General features: G+C 45.9%; 1 annotated feature.

Moving 5' to 3' along the window:
• Nucleotides 18–317: an enhancer, noted in NCBI's record as "active region_15631". NCBI's record gives its function as "activates an Ori minimal core promoter by ATAC-STARR-seq in GM12878 lymphoblastoid cells {active_cell/tissue: GM12878}" and the evidence as "EXISTENCE:reporter gene assay evidence [ECO:0000049][PMID:35858748]".

Raw genomic sequence — 16927 nt, 5'->3', positions numbered from 1 at the left:
GCTGCTCACCTCATTTTCACAAACAGGACCCAGATGGGGGCTGGGCAGGATGCAGGCCAAGCTTACCCAGAGGCAGGGGCTGGGCCAGGCTCCCTGGCTTCTTCCCATCACAGGCTCTGTTGGCTACGTTCAGCCTCCTGCCTCCTCTGCTCCCTGATAGGTGACTCCTTGGGGAAGCTCTGTCTGAGCGTGACAAATCTGAGAATGCACTGATTATATTCTACAACTTCCGGAAAGTTCCTGCTGTTAGCGATTTGCAAGCTTCTCCTGAGATGAAAATTCAAAACAAAGTAGAAAGTAAATGGGCCTCGTGTGCAATGGTGTAGGGAGCTTTATCAATGGGGGTGTTTATGTGCAGGAGCTGGTGAGCAGGGCTGTGGGACCCTTCATCTTTATGGTGCCTGGAATGCTGGGTATTAGCGAGGCTTAGGACAGAGGCTGACCTGCCAGGCCGAAACTGACATTTCCCTCCATTTTCCAGAGATGGAGGCAGTTGTTGCTGCCCTCCCTTCCGTGGCAGGAAGTGGCCAAAGAGGCTGCCTTGGCCACCAGTGGAGAAGGGTCCTAATGAAGTTGAGGTCAGGATGGGCAGCAGGAGTTGGAGGAGAGATTAGAACGGGGTAATGAAGCTCGGGTGGATGAGGGTGGAATATCTATTTGCAGCAATCTATTTTCCCCAGGAACAGGCTGAGCATTTTTATGAAGTCAGACACAAGACCCCTCTCTTTCCCAGAGCTGTGTTCTTCCTGGAGCCCCGAAACAGCTCTGTCCCCTCCAGCTCCCATCCCCACCCCCATCTGGGTTTACATTCCTGTTCATAGTCACAGCAGCCCTGGCGGCGACCATGGCTGAGCCACATCTGGGGTGCTGATGGCCACATCTGCATCCACCCCTCTGGGAGCTGGTTACTTCTATTCTTTTATCTGCATCTGTGGAATCGGGAGGGGATCTGGGCATGGTGGGTTCCCAGCCCTAAGAGCTGTCAATTTCTACAGGAGGGCTTGGGAAGACTCCATGTCACAGGCCACCATCTCTTTGCAGACATGGATTCCTGGCTCTTAAGTTTCAGACAAAGACAACCAGGGAGCCATTCCATGAGAGCCCCTGCATCTCCCTCTTCAGGTCTTCTCCCTCCTCTAGGTCTACTCTGCTTCGCCCACTCACCTCTCTCCTCCAGGAGCCAATTATACTTATTATTATTACTGACTCCACTTTATGGGTCCCAAATGACAAATGAGGATGAGGGCAGAAGAAAAGGAATGCTCAGGTTGGATATGAGAGGGAGATGAATGTGGGAGGTAGGAGGAGGAAGAACAAGATGGGATTGGACGCAGGTGGATTCAGGAGGTAAACCCAGGCTGTCTTGGGGTCCCCAGCCTGGTTTGGGAGAGGCTGTAAGTCATGCCAACATGCAACACATGGGCCAAGGGTTGTGTGGGCAAGAAGTCCAGTGCTTGCAGGCCGGTCTCCAGTATCCATGAGGGACTTCTGTTGGCTTTTAAGCCAGAGCGCTTCGGGCCATAGGCTAGGTCCCTCTGCTGGTCTCTGGATAGGTTTCTTTGCATCCAGGGTGTCCTGGCTGGATCACATTTTCCAGACTGATGGAGAGTGGTATGGGTCGGGGCTCTGAGCGTGTCTTGATGTGGTCCTTCATGGTTGGACAGATATCCTGGCCATAAAAACCCTGACTCAAAGCCTGACCCAGGAAGGAATGGAGGACTCCAGAGAGTAGATGCCTTTCTTCTAGTCTGGCCAGACCTGCTGATGTCCATGGATTCTTGCAGGCCAGCATGCCCCTGAGTGAGGTCTTCTAGGATGAAGGAGGTAGACCTGCTGTGGGCTTTCCTCATTGTACTAGAGAAACCATAAGGTTTGGGGCAGAGAAAAGACACTGGAGAGGACCCGACCAGGACAGTGTATGAATGTATGAACAAGCCCATCTGTGCATGTGTGCATGGGGTAAACACTGTGCTTAGAAGGTTGTCATCCTTGTCCTGATTAAGGACTCTCCTCACTGTGTACTGGAAGGCTTGGGGAACTTGTGATTTAGAATGCCATTTTATCTGGCTGCTTTTCCAGGGAGGTTTGGAAAATTAGCTGAGCCCAGTTAGATTAGAAAGAGGACCCCCAAAGTGGTGGAATGGGGACTGCAGTTGTGGGATCCTTGGTGGTTCTGTGGAGCTGGGGGCTAACTAGCTTTGGGGTGATTTTTCTGGATTCGATCCTGCCTATCTGTGCTATGATTCTTGTGTCACTCTGCAGTGTGTTTCCGGGCTCTGAATCCTCAGGGCCAACTCTCACTTGATATCTGAGCAGAGACCCCATCTGGATCTCATCTGACAGGGCTTGGTGTGGCTTCTACGGCAGCCATAATATTCCCTATGCAGATTGAAGTTCTCCTAGCCGAAGCCTCTTATTCACTCTGCAAGATACTGCTGGTGGGAGTAGATCATTCCAGCAGTCACCTCCCAGGCTAGAGGCGCCTTACCTGAGTAACTAGCTTAATCTTTTTAAGCCTTGGTTTTCTAATCTGTAAAATGGTGATAATAGTAATGTCTAACTCATAGGGTTGCTATTAAGTAAATATGGCAATAAATAGAAAAAGCCTTATATACTGCAAACACCTTATAACTGTACAATACATGTTAACTTTTCCTTTTTGTTAATTCTCACCTCACAACAGATACCTATAGTAGTCAGGTTTGTGATGCAGATCAAGGTGACAGTCCGGATTTGGGGTGAGAGTAAGGTTTAGAATTTGGATGAGGATAAATGTGTGGGATTAAATTCAGTGATTTTGAAGTGTTTGGGTTGAGACTGGTGTGGAGTTCCTGTGAGGGATGGTTTTAGGATTGAGCTTGGGGTCAGGATCATATGTGGGATGCAAATCTCTGGGAGAATTAGGGTTAGAGGGGGAGTTGGCTTTAAGGAAGTTCTTTCTGTTAGAAATAGAATGCCTACATCTGTCTATATCTCAGCATACACTCAGGAGACACACGGGGGCTCTAAAATTCTGGCTTCCTCAGGGGCTGAACTTGTCTACCTCAGCCTGAGCTATTGCCAGGATAACTCCTCCAGGCTCTGTTTTGGGGGACAGAGCAGTGTACAAGGTCAAGGCCTCCCTTGTGGAAAAGCCTAGAAGATCAAGGCTGGAGAGAATGTAGGGAACTCACTGTGGCTGCCCAGCTGTTTCAGTTCTGGTAGGTTCATTCGTCCTACACCTAAGCCCCAGGCCTCCCACCTCCAGCCGGCTTTCTCCCTAACAGACTCCACATTCTCCCTGGACTGGCCTCTGATTCCAGGACTCTGTGTCCCCAGAGAGTCTGATCTGACACAACTCCGATCTGATAGCTCCCTTCCATGCTTTACAGGGAGCAGCAGGGAGAAACCTTGGCCTGGCCTGGGTGCCTGCTCCAATGCCCCTGCTCCAGTCTCCAGTTCCTGGGGGAGGGTAGGACACAAAAGCCGGATCTCCCTGACAGCCCCATCCTCCTCCCTCCAGCCCCTCTCCCTCTCTCTGAGTTCCCTCCAGGGCTAGAGGAGGCCAAAGAAAACAGAGCGCTTCCCTAGCTCACTCTCCCTCTCTCCCTCACTTCCTGCTGGGGAAGATGGTTTACTCCCTCCCCTGCCCTGGCTCAGGACCTGGCCTTGGTGTCAAGTTTCTCCAGAGCTTCCAGAATCAGAGGCCCTGCATGCACTCAAGGTAGACCCCTCACCTCTTTCAATTTCACCTTTTTCATGACTTTTCTCTCTCATTCCAAGGCTGTTTAGCCCAGTCTCCACTCCCTGTAGTAAAGTTTTATTTTTCAGATGGTGGAAAAAATCCAATGGAAGGAAGGTTTCCTTGGGAGTGTCGGGCACGTAGGATGATGGTGGGGTAAAGGAGGACAGATAGCTGCTATGGAGAAGGGGTATCTGTGCAGCGGATAAGAAAGAGTCATGTGGACACAGGGATCAAACACACTTCCCTTTAGGCCTGCTGATCATGTGGGAAAAAAGCTCCTTCTTGCAGCCCAGTAAGAATGGCCTCCCTGGTGCTGTGCAACATGGTGACCCTGGCCAGTGGGCATCCTTAAAAGACCCTCCAGTAGCACCAGAGGGACAAGAGGCCCCAGGTTCATTTGTGGCCAGCTCAGGAGGCACTTTGTCAAAGAGCCTGAACTCCTGGGAATTATGGAGCCTCTGAAGCCCTGGACATTTCCTACCCCTGCTGAGAAAGCAAGAAAAAGAGAGAGGAGGAAGCAAGAGCAGAGTAAGTACAAAAAGAGAAGATGAAGGACAGTCTGGGGGAGCCAGAAGAGAGGACTGCTTATGGAGATTATTATTACTGTTACCATATCTTATGATCACCCACCTGCACCTGCAGGCAATTCCACAGAGACTGTTCAAGGATGATAGAAGAATCAGGGTTCCTTTATTTTATTTTTTATTTTTGAGACAAAGTCTCTCCCTGTCGCCCAGGCTGGAGTGCAGTGGCACGATCTCAGCTCATTGCAACCTCTGCCTCCTGGGTTCAAGCAATTCTCCTGCCTCAGCCTCCTGAGTAGCTGGGATTACAGGCATGCGCCACCATGCCAGGCTAATTTTTTTTGTATTTTTAGTACAGATGGGGTTTCAGCATGTTGGTCAGGCTGGTCTCAAACTCCTGGCCTCATGATCTACCTGCCTCGGCCTCCCAAAGTGCTGGGATTACAGGCATGAGCCACTGTACCCAGCCTCAGGGTTCCTTTTTATAGGACTGAGGCAGGACTCCTGGCAGGAGTCCTGGGTTTGCAAATCTACCAGCGTGTAATGCCTGTCTTTGCATTTAACACAAAATTAGGGCTGCCTTCTTTGCTTCCATCTTCCTTCTTCCCTCCCTCCTTCCTTTCTTCCTCCCTCCTATCTTGATTCTTCCCTTCCATTCCTCTTTCCTTCCTCATTCTTTCTTTTCTGCACTTAATACTTATTAAGAATCTAATCTGGCCCAATACTTTGCTATGCACCAAGTAAATGATAATAGATAAGAAAGAGACAAACAACCTGAAGTCTGGTCTTGGAGATGGGGAGACAAGCATGTAAGCCGGAAAATACAATGTGGTGTTCTAGCTACCTATAGTAAAAGGACACCCAGATAGGGTGGAGCATAAAAAACCTGAGTTAGTAAAGCTTAAAAGCTGAGGGGTTCAGGGCAGGTTTTCAGGCAGAGCAATAACAAGAAGGTGAGAAATACCATATTTTATTGGGAATATGTTTTCCAGCTTGGAGTTGAAGACTGAGCATGAACATGGGATCTGTAGAATATATTTTTCTTCTGGAGAATGTTAGAAGAGCTAAGTTTGCTTGCTCCCTCTAGAATTCATCTGGGAAAGCTCTTCTTCCAGTTACCTTATGGCTTGCTCCTCTTCTCCTTCTAGTCTTTACTCAATTGCCACTTTCCCAGTGAGGTCTTTCATGACCGTCTGGGAACTGCAACTTGCCTCTCTGTTAGTCCATTCTCATGCTGCTTGTAAAGACATACCCAAGATCGGGTAATTTGTAAAGAAAAAGAGGTTTAATGGACTCACAGTTCCACATGGCTGGGGAGGCCTCACGATCATGGTGGAAGGCAAAGGAGGAGCAAAGGCAAGTCTTACATGGCAGCAGGCAAGAGAGTGTGTGAAGGGGAACTACCCTTTATAAAACCATCAGATCTTTGAGACTTATTCACTATCACGAGAACAGCATGGGAAAAACCCATCCCCAAGATTCAGTTACCTCCCACCAGGTCCCTCCCTCAACAGGTGGAGATTATAGGAACTATTACATTATTCAAGATGAGATTTGGGTGTGGACACAAAGCCAAACCATATCACTCCCTCCATAGCTCTATTCCATACCCCTGCTCCCTGCAAATCCTTTGACTTGCTTAATTTTTCTCCATAGCACTTATTGCCTTCTAGTGTTCCTTACATTTTATTTTTTGTTTTATTTGTCTCCTACCACTAGAACATAAGCACAGTGAAGAAAGGGATTTTTGTCTGTTTCACTCTTTGCTCCATCGCTAGTGCCTGAACAGCCTGGCACATAGTGGGGGCTCAATAATTTGTCAGATTGGTACTGACTCCTTGATTCATGTAGGAAACATGTTTGGCTATCTGTAAAATGGGCCAAGTGTGGTGCTGGTGAGCTGTAGCCAATGACTCTCAAGTGCAAATTTCATAGACTTGCTGTATCAGAATAGGGTGTTTATTAAATATACAGATCCTGGAATCCTACTCAAGACCTAATGAATTAGAATTTCCACAGGTGAATGATGCATTTTAGCAAGGATGCCTGGTGATTTGATGTGCAAGAAGGTTAGAAACCACAGCTAGACAATCTGAACGACAGAATAAGCTTCCTTTCTCAGTAATGGTCAATAAGAGAATGGAGCCTCAGGTTTTGAGACCAGTCAGGAGGCTCTTGTTATAGTCTAGGTCAGAAAACAAGGGGGCTTGGACTAGGTAGGGTTGAGGCATTAGAGATGGAGAGAAGTGAATGGATTCAGGGGATGTTCAGGAGCTAAAATCTTGAGGACGGATTGCATATGCCAGGCAAGGGAGAGAAGGTGTCAAGAAGGACCACTATATTCTAGCTTGTCCAGATGTGTAGAAGGAGGGGCCATCACTCAAATGAAGCTACTCTGGAAGAAGACCTAGTTTGACAGGTAAGATATAAATTTGTTTTTAGACATATTAAGCTTAAGGTGTTTCTGGAAATCAAAAGGGGAAATGTAAAGTCAACAGATATATGCCCAGGCTAGGAGATTTTCAAAGCCAGTTCTCCAAAAATATGATGGTCAAAATGGAAGAAGACAACTTTCAGCTAAGCAAAAAAAACTGAGATCAAAGGAATTAGCATGGACTATCTCGGCATATGTACTTGTCATGTGAAAAAATATGCAAGCATGTATAGTTTCCATTGCGAGAGGCAAATAGAGCAATGAACCTAGAAATTACATGTGCTCTAAACTAAAAAAAAGAAAGAAAAAAAGCAGGAATGTTACAATTGTAAAATGCATGTGTAGCTCTTACTGCAAGATTTAAATCTTGTTGACACCAATATGAAATGATGGGTTGTGATTCACAGGGAAGGTAATGTGATTTCTGCACATGGGCTCTGACCTTGGGTGCCCCAGCCAAAGCTTGGAGAGTGAATCCACACTGAACTGGGTGGGGGTGGGGTGGAGAGAGAATGCTTACTAGGACTGTGGGAAGACGCTGCACTTTAAACAGAAAGAAAAAAATGGGTCCCCAGACAAGAGGTGGTTCACACAGAAAAAGGGCTTCAGAGGAGCAGGATGTGCAGCCTGGCCTCGGAGGGGGGTGCATAGGACATGAAGAGCAGTCTGGTGACGAGAGGGTGTTCATTGCTGTGGGGAACGAGGGATATTTCACTGATGTCTCCCAAGTGAAGGGAAATTATCCCCTCAAGGCCTCTTTGTTCTGATTCTGGGCTTGCCAAGCAGCCTTCTGGTGAATTTGACTTAATAATAGAGAACACTTTCCAAGCACATAGGAAACAGCAGAGAACATTCTGCTCAGTCTGGTACATGCATTATCTCATTTAATCTTCACAATAACCAATGATATAGGTGGTTATGATGATCTGGATTTTACAGATGATGGAATTGAGGCACAGAGAGGTTAGTTAATTTGCCCAAGGTCACACAGATAGTTAAGTGAGAGAGCTGGGATTCAGACTTGGGTAGCTGGGCCCTCAGGTCTCCTCCACTTTTTCTTTTTTTTTGAAACAAGGTCTGGCTCTGTCACCCAGGCTGGAGTGCAGTGGCGCGATCTCGGCTCACTACAACCTCCACCTCCCGGGTTCAAGCCATTCTCCCACCTCAGCCTCCCGAGTAGCTGGGACTACAGGCACATACCACCATGCCCGGCTAATTTTTTTGTTATTATTATTATTTTTGTAATGGAATTTCTCCATGTTGCCCAGGCTGGTCTTGAACTCATGAACTCAAACCATCTGCCGGTCTTGGCCTCCCAAAGTGCTGGGATTACAGGCATGAGCCACCATGCCTGGCCTAGGTCTTCACTCTTAACCACTTCCTTGCATACTCAGGTGGTGGCTTTGACTGGTTTTTGGTGCTGGAGTGAGGAGTCAGTCAATTTAGCACATTGGAACGCTTGTTTCCATAGCTGCTTCCATGAATTTTGATAGCCTGAGTCTGTTGCTGAGAGACTGTTAAAAGACTAACCAATTTCTGTCCTGAGGGGTGTGGGCCAGACATTAGAACGTGGTGTCTCAACCTAGTTGCCATTCCTGGCAGTTAATCCAGTGCCTAGTGTGTGAACGGCTCTGGATTATATGTGTGTGTGTATATATATATATATATATATATATATATATATATATTTTTTTTTTTTTTTTTTTTTTTTTTTTTTTTGTGGGTTGTGGGACTGAATCAAGTAAAGGCATAGCCCAGAGGACTTTGAAGAGTCCCTGGGCAGTATTCCATTAGCGGCCCCCAGCCAAAAAGATGATACTCTCTTTGATCATTTTTAGCAAATTTCCAATATTAAAAATTTTTTTCCTGTTTTTTTTTTTTGCAAACTCAGGCTGCCTAAATGTACATTTGTTAACACAACTCCATCCTTGTATTTTAAACATAGCTATGGAAGAAAAAAAAATTTACTTTCAGATATAAATAGAGCCAAAAATGTGCAGAAAATGTAGAGCACAGTGAGGACTTTCAATGTAATCCTTTTGTGGAGAAAAGTTTCCAAAAGCCATCCCCTCCTCGAGGTTTCAAATAGAAGAAAAGTAGATGTTTTGTAAACTCGTAAGCCTTGAATGGCTGCAAATGTCTATAATTTTGAATCATTTTTTTGGAGGCTGTATTTCTATACTCTCCTCGGGAATGATAACAAAGTTATGGAAAGTGGTGGTTTTTCAGCTTTGGTGTCTTCAAAATGCCATTCAGAGTCTTCAGATGATGTTGAAAGACAGAATGAGATGAAGGGGAACTCCAAGTCGACAGGGCTACTTGCTATTTTAGTGTTATTATTTTTGAACTTTTAAATTTTGAAATAATTATAGAGTCAAAGGAAGTTGCAGAAAAATGTACAAGGGCTCATGTACCTATCACTCAATTTCCCTCAGTGGTAATATCTTGGATATTATTATTTTTAATTGAATAGAGAAAATGTAAAAGTGGGCCAGGCCCTTCTGTGACAAGCTTTCAGAAAACTATTTTGGATATACACTTGAAAGAACACATTGATTTGGACAATGAGGGAAAAAATTATTTTTGTTTAATAATCTAATTTGAAGAAGTTTAAAATATATTTTAGAATTTTATTTCTTTTCTTAAAAAAAGTAGAAATTGGTTCATAGTCAGAGGTCAGGGAACATCCCAGCTGCTTACCATGGCTTAGAAGGTTCTGTAGAATCTGAGCCAAGGCCACTGGTCCAGCCTCATCTCTTCCTTCTCTTCCTTCTCTCCCCTACCCTCTCCTCCTCCGTCTCCATGTTCCAGCCACACTGGTGTCCTCTCTTTTTTTCTTTCCTAAATCCTAGTCCATCTGTTTAGGACACTTTCCCTTCATTCTTTGCTTGGCTAGCTCTGCTCAACCTTCTTATTTCATCTTAAATGTCAACTGCTGAGAGCTTCCCAGCAATTTAATCTAAATATTCCTTCCATAATTGTCTCTTGTTGCACTCTGATTATTTTCTTCATAGCATCTATAGAATTTACAATATTTGTAATCATATTGATTGCTTATTTTCTTGTTTATTGTCTTTCAACACAACTAGATTGGGAGGAAGGACCATTTGGGATGTTCAATAAATATTTATTGAATCAATGCTTGGATTGTGAGAAACTTAAGTGACAAACCAAAGTAGCAGTCATTTTCTTTTCTTTTCTTTTCTTTTCTTTTCTTTTCTTTTCTTTTCTTTTTTTTTTTTGAGACAGAGTCTTGCTCTGTCACCCAGGCTGGAGTGCAGTGACTGGATCTCGGCTAACCTCCACCTCCCGTGTTCAAGCACTTCTTCTGCCTCAGCCTCTGGAGTAGCTGGGATTACAGGCTTGCACCACCAGGCCTGGCTAATTTTTGTATTTTTAGTAGAGACGGGGTTTTGCCATGTTGGCCAGGTCGGTCTTGAACCCTTGACCTCAAGTGATCTGCCTGCCTTGGCCTCCCAAAGTGCTGGGATTATCTCACCCGGCCAAAGTAGCCACCATTTTCTATATCAATTTATTTCTTAATCTTTTTTCATGGAAGGATTTGTAGTACTCCCTGGGATCAAGTGTCCTTACTGAAACTCATCAACACAGCACATAACAAGTACAATGGCATAGCAGTAATATTTAACCTTTTCTTAAAATATAGCTTTATAAATGGAATATTCCCTCTGCTACTACCGTTCATACTTATTATAGCGTGAACATCTACTATGGGCCAAGCTTTGGACTAAAGAGCTTTTTACACAGTTTAACTCATTTAATCTGTACAAGACCCTGGGAGATGGTCATTATTGTCCCCATTTTACTGATGAGAAAACTGAGCCCAGAGAAGTGAAGTGACCTGGGTACAGATAATACAGCTAGTACAAGACCCTGGGAGATGGTCATTATTGTCCCCATTTTACTGATGAGAAAACTGAGCCCAGAGAAGTGAAGTGACCTGGGTACAGATAATACAGCTAGTACATAGTGGATATAGTAACATCCACTGTCTTTTTCTCTTTCTTAAGAACTCCATGAGGTGGGTGTTTTACCCAAGTGTTTCCAGTGACATTTATGACTTGTTTTAAGTGTTCTCAATATATCTCTTTAACAATCAAAAAAATATCAGCCCCCATAGTTGAAAGTTTGCAAAAAAAAAAAAAAAAAAGAAAAGAAAAATAAATTAACCATGAAAGCTTCAGTGATACTTTGGGCTCAAATGAGTTCTCAGGCATTTTCAGTAATATAAGGACTCTCATTATAACAGCTGAGAAATTCATAGCAAAATTACTGACTGTGGTTATGTATGTCACTTACTCTCTCCCCCCTTCTTTTTTTTTTTCTTTCTTTTCTTTTTTTATTATACTTTAAGCTCTGGGATACATGTGCAGAACGTGCAGGTTTGTTACATAGGTATATAAGTGCCATGGTGGTTTGCTGCACCCATCAATCTGTCATCTACATTAGGTATTTCTCCTAATGCTATCCCTCCCCTAGTCCCCCACCCCAAGACAGGCCCTGGTGTGTGTGATGTTCCCCTCCCTGTGTCCATGTGCTCTCATTGTTCAACTCCCACTTATGAGTGAGAACATGTGGTGTTTGATTTTCTGTTCCTGTGTTAGTTTGCTGAGAATGATGGTTTCCAGCTTCATCCATGTCCCTGCAAAGGATATGAACTCATCCTTTTTTATGGCTGCATAGTATTCCATGGTGTATATGTATCACATTTTCTTTATCCAGTCTATCATTGATGGGCATTTGGGTTGGTTCCAAGTCTTTGCTACTGTGGACAGTGCTGCAATAAACAATACGTGTGCATGTGTCTTTATAGTAGAATGACTTATAATCCTTTGGGTATATACTCAGTAATGGGATTGCTGGGTCAAATGGTATTTCTGGTTCTAGATCCTTGAGGAATAGCCACAATGTATTCCACAATGGTTGATCTAATTTACACTCCCACCAACGGTGTAAAAGTATTCCCATTTCTCTACATCCTTTCTAGCATCTGTTGTTTCCTGACTTTTTTTTTTTTTTAGACAAAGTCTTGCTCTGTCACCAGGCTGGAGTGCAGTGGTGTGATCTTGACTCACTGCAACCTCCGCCTCCCAAGTTCAAGCAATTCTCCTGCCTCAGCCTCTCGAGTAGCTGGGATTACAAGTTTGTGCCACCATGCCCAGCTAATTTTTGTATTTTTAGTAGAGATGGGGTTTCACCATGTTGGCCAGGATGGTCTTGATCTCTTGACCTCATGATCTGCCCACCTTGGCCTCCCAAAGTGCTGGGATTACAGGCATGAGCCACCGTGCCCAGCATATTTCCTGACTTTTTAATGATCGCCATTCTAACTGGTGTGAGATTGAGATGGTATCTCTTTATGGTTTTGATTTGCATTTCTCTAATAACCGGTGATGATGAGCTTTTTTTCATATGTTTGTTGGTTGCGTTTAAGTTACATTTGTGTCTTAGTATGTTTAGGAAAAAAGACAAGCATTTGCTAGCTGAAAGGGTCTTTCCACCTCTTCTTCCACATGAGGGACATTTTATGCAAACCTTTTTTGGTATCATGCTTTTTTTGTCTTGCTCTCTCATAAAGTAATTTGCTAACAGGAAAAGTGCCAACATTTTCTTGAAACAGTAATTGGTTCTAAGAGAAGACTCAGTGGGATGCCGCCATGATCTCAATGTCTGTGTCCCCTCCAAATTTATATGTCAAAATCCTAACCCCCAAGGTGATGGTATTAGGAGGTGGGACTTTGGGAGGTGATTAGGTAATAGGGGCACAGCCCTCATGAATAGGATTAGTGCCCTTAGAAATGAGACCTGAGGCCGGGCATGGTAGCTCACGCCTGTAATCCCAGCACTCTGGGAGGCTGAGGCGGGTGGATCATCTATCAGGAGTTCAAGACCAGCCTGGCCAACATGGCGAAACCCTGTCTCTACTAAAAAAATATACAAAAATTAGCTGGGCTTGTTGGCAGGCACCTGTAATCCCAGCTACTTGGGAGGCTGAGGCAGGAGAATTGCTTGAACCTGGGAGGTGGAGGTTGCAGTGAGCTGAGATTGTGCCACTGCCCTCCTGCCTTGGCAACAGAGGGAGACTGTGTCTGAAAAAAAAAAAAAAGAAAAAGAAAAGAAATGAGGCTTGAGAGAGCTGCATTGCCCCTTGCACATGTGAGGGAGGACACAGCTAGAAGGTGCTGTCTGTGAATCAGAAAGTGGGACGTTGTTAGACACTAAATCTGTTGGCACCTTGATCTTGGACTTCCAGCCTCCAAAATGGCAAGAAATAAATTTCTGTTGTTTATAAGTTTATAGTATTTTGTTATAGCAGCCAGAGTAGACTAAGACAGATGCCTTTAGAATTCACCTTTGTATTTGTTTGAAGTAACTTTTTTAAGGTGATATTAATATTTCTTTAGGACTTCCATTGGAGGTGAAAATATCACACCAACTGACTGTGATGCCTTAGCTTCAGAGAAGAAAAATAATCATCCTTGTTTAAAAAGTCCATCAGTTCTCCCTCTCCCTCTCCCTCTCCCCATGGTCTCCCTCTCCCTCTCTTTCCAGGGTCTCCCTCTCATGCCGAGCCGAAGCTGGACTATACTGCTGCCATCTCGGCTCACTGCAACCTCCCTGCCTGATTCTCCTGCCTCAGCCTGCGGAGTGCCTGCAATTGCGGGCGCGCGCCGCCACGCCTGACTGGTTTTCGTATTTTTTTGGTGGAGACTGGGTTTTGCTGTGTTGGCCGGGCTGGTCTCCAGCTCCTAACCGCGAGTGATCCGCCAGCCTCGGCCTCCCGAGGTGCCGGGATTGCAGACGGAGTCTGGTTCACTCAGTGCTCAATGGCGCACAGGCTGGAGTGCAGTGGCGTGATCTCGGCTCGCTACAACCTCCACCTCCCAGCCGCCTGCCTTGGCCTCCCAAAGTGCCCAGAGTGCAGCCTCTGCCTGGCCGCCACCCCGTCTGGGAAGTGAGGAGCGTCTCTGCCTGGCCGCCCATCGTCTGGGATGTGAGGAGCCCCTCTGCCTGGCTGCCCAGTCTGGAAAGTGAGGAGCGTCTCTGCCCGGCCGCCATCCCATCTGGGAAGTGAAGAGTGCCTCTTCCCGGCCGCCATCACATCTAGGAAGTGAGGAGCGCCTCTGCCCAGCCACCACCCCGTCTGGGAGGTGAGGAGCGTCTCTGCCCGGCCGCCCCGTCTGAGAAGTGAGGAGACCCTCCGCCCGGCAGCCGCCCCATATGAGAAGTGAGGAGCCTCTCCGCCCGGCAGCTGCCCCGTCTGAGAAGTGAGGAGCCTCTCCGCCCGGCAGCCACCCCGTCTGGGAAGTGAGGAGCGTCTCCGCCCGGCAGCCACCCCGTCCGGGAGGGAGGTGGGGGGGTCAGCCCCCGCCAGACCAGCCGCCCCGTCTGGGAGGGAGGTGGGGGGGGTCAGCCCCCCGCCCGGCCAGCCGCCCCGTCCCGGAGGGAGGTTGGGGGGTCAGCCCCCAGCCCGGCCAGCCGCCCCGTCCGGGAGGGAGGTTGGGGGGTCAGCCCCCCGCCCGGCCAGCCGCCCCGTCCGGGAGGGAGGTGGGGGGGTCAGCCCCCCGCCAGGCCAGCCGCCCCGTCCGGGAGGGAGGTGGGGGTGTCAGCCCCCCGCCTGGCCAGCCGCCCCGTCCGGGAGGTGAGGGGCGCCTCTGCCCGGACGCCCCTACTGGGAAGTGAGGAGCCCCTCTGCCTGGCCAGCTGCCCCGTCCGGGAGGGAGGTTGGGGGGTCAGCCCCCCGCCCGGCCAGCCGCCCAGTCCGGGAGGGAGGTGGGGGGGTCAGCCCCCCGCCCGGCCAGCCGCCCCATCCGGGAGGTGAGGGGCGCCTCTGCCCGGCCGTCCCTACTGGGAAGTGAGGAGCCCCTCTGTCCGGCCACCACCCCGTCTGGGAGGTGTGCCCAACAGCTCATTGAGAACGGGCCAGGATGACAATGGCGGCTTTGTGGAATAGAAAGGGGGGAAAGGTGGGGAAAAGATTGAGAAATCGGATGGTTGCTGTGTCTGTGTAGAAAGAAGTAGACATGGGAGACTTTTCATTTTGTTCTGTACTAAGAAAAATTCTTCTGCCTTGGGATCCTGTTGATCTGTGACCTTACCCCCAACCCTGTACTCTCTGAAACATGTGCTGTGTCCACTCAGAGTTAAATGGATTAAGGGCAGTGCAAGATGTGCTTTGTTAAACAGATGCTTGAAGGCAGCATGCTCATTAAGAGTCATCACCACTCCCTAATCTCAAGTACCCAGGGACACAAACGCTGCGGAAGGCCGCAGGGTCCTCTGCCTAGGAAAACCAGAGACCTTTGTTCACTTGTTTATCTGCTGACCTTCCCTCCACTATTGTCCTATGACCCTGCCAAATCCCCCTCTGTGAGAAACACCCAAGAATGATCAATAAAAAAAAAAAAAAAAAAAAAAGTCCATCAGTAATGAAACATCATCTTAGGTTTTTTTTTTTTTTTTTAAATTGCGACAGGCTCTCACTTTGTCATCCAGGTTGGAGTGCAGTGGTGCAATCATGAGTCACTGCAGCCTCGACTCCCCCAGGCTGAAGCAATCCTCCTGCCTCAGCCTCCCAAGTAGCTTGGGACTGCAGTTGTATGTCACCATACCCAGCCCCAATCTTAGTTTTTAGAAACAATTTTTTTTTTTTTTTGGAGAGACTGTCCTTTAGTCATAAAAAATTACAAGACATTAAAAACTTACAAGTGATTGGAAACTACTCAAATGTCCAGAATAGGAAGCCTGTGGCATGTTCATACAAAGGAATACTATACAGCAATATAAGTAAATGAACTGCAATTGTGTACATGGAAAATATAGATGACTATATCTATATATATACATATAATATATATACACATATATAATATACATATATGTATATGTATATATATAATATATAATATATATACATATATTATATGTATATGTATATATTATATATAATATATATACATATATGTATATGTATATATATAATATATAATATATATACATATATGTATATGTATATATATAATATATATAATATATATATTTTAACATGTTACTTTAGGTTCCAGGATACAAGTGCAGAACGTGCAGGTTTGTTACATAGGTATATGTGAGATAACTATATTTGTAACATAATGTTGAGCAAAAACTTTATGCTGAACAAAAAGGCCAGATGCAAAAGAGTACATGCCCTTTGATTCCATTTATATAAAGTTTTGAAACAGGTAAAACTAACCAGTGGTGTTGGAAGTCAGCTTTTTGGGGGTTGGGTAGTGTAGTTACTCAAAGGGGACAGTAGAGGGGCTCCTGGAATGCTGGGAATGTTCAGTTTTAATATTGGTTTCTTGGATATGTTTGATTGTGAAAATTTATCAAGCTCCATATACAATTTGTGCACTTTCAGTGTTGTAAGTTATACTTTCATAAAATATTGGGGGAAGAAAAGCCAGTAAGTGCAATGGACTTATGGGAGAGCCTGGGTCTCTGGCAGACATCCCAGCATCCTTCACTCCAGACATGATGGCAGCCTGCATACAATTCTGTCTCAGACTGAATGGTGGATGGTGGAGGAGGAAGAAGCTCTCTGGAGACAGCATGAGTGATCTCTAATTATACTTTTCTTTTTAGAAAAAGAATTTTTTTTTCTTCTAAAAGAGTGACTTTAAATGATAGTTCATGAAATAACCTCCTTGGTGTCATCTACTCGTGAAATCCTTTTTTTAACCAACAAATCCCTGCATTCTGTGTGACTAAACCTGTACACACATTTCCAGCCCAGCACCATACCACCAGATAGGGTGGGGCAGTGGCACCCAGAAGGCTTGTGATACCACAGATCTGGATTCAAACCTCAGCTCTACTTCTCACCTGTTCTGTGACCTAGGGCAGGGAACTCTCCCTGATACTCAATCTCCACCTCACAGGTTGACACTGGGAATTACATGAGGCCTCCCCAGGGATTTGTGCCTAGTAAAATGCTAAACACAAAATGGCAGGTGTTTGAGGAGTTGTTCTTTACTTATATCACCTCCAATGATAATCCTACATAGTAGGCAATATTTCTATTTTGCAAAGGAGGAAACCAAGATTTTTGAAGCAAGATTATAACTACTGAGTGACAGGGCAGGATTTGAACCCTACCAGCCCTGAGCTCAAGTGTCCAACCCTTCTGCTATACTGCCTCTGCACCTGCAGCTGGCCACACCGATATGGTTCCAGGGACCCTGG

This window comes from Homo sapiens, chromosome 2 (assembly GCF_000001405.40).
Source record: "Homo sapiens chromosome 2, GRCh38.p14 Primary Assembly".
Taxonomy (NCBI): Eukaryota; Metazoa; Chordata; class Mammalia; order Primates; family Hominidae; genus Homo; species Homo sapiens.
Note: the sequence above shows the minus strand (reverse complement) of the source record. Positions and strands in the feature narration are given on the sequence as shown.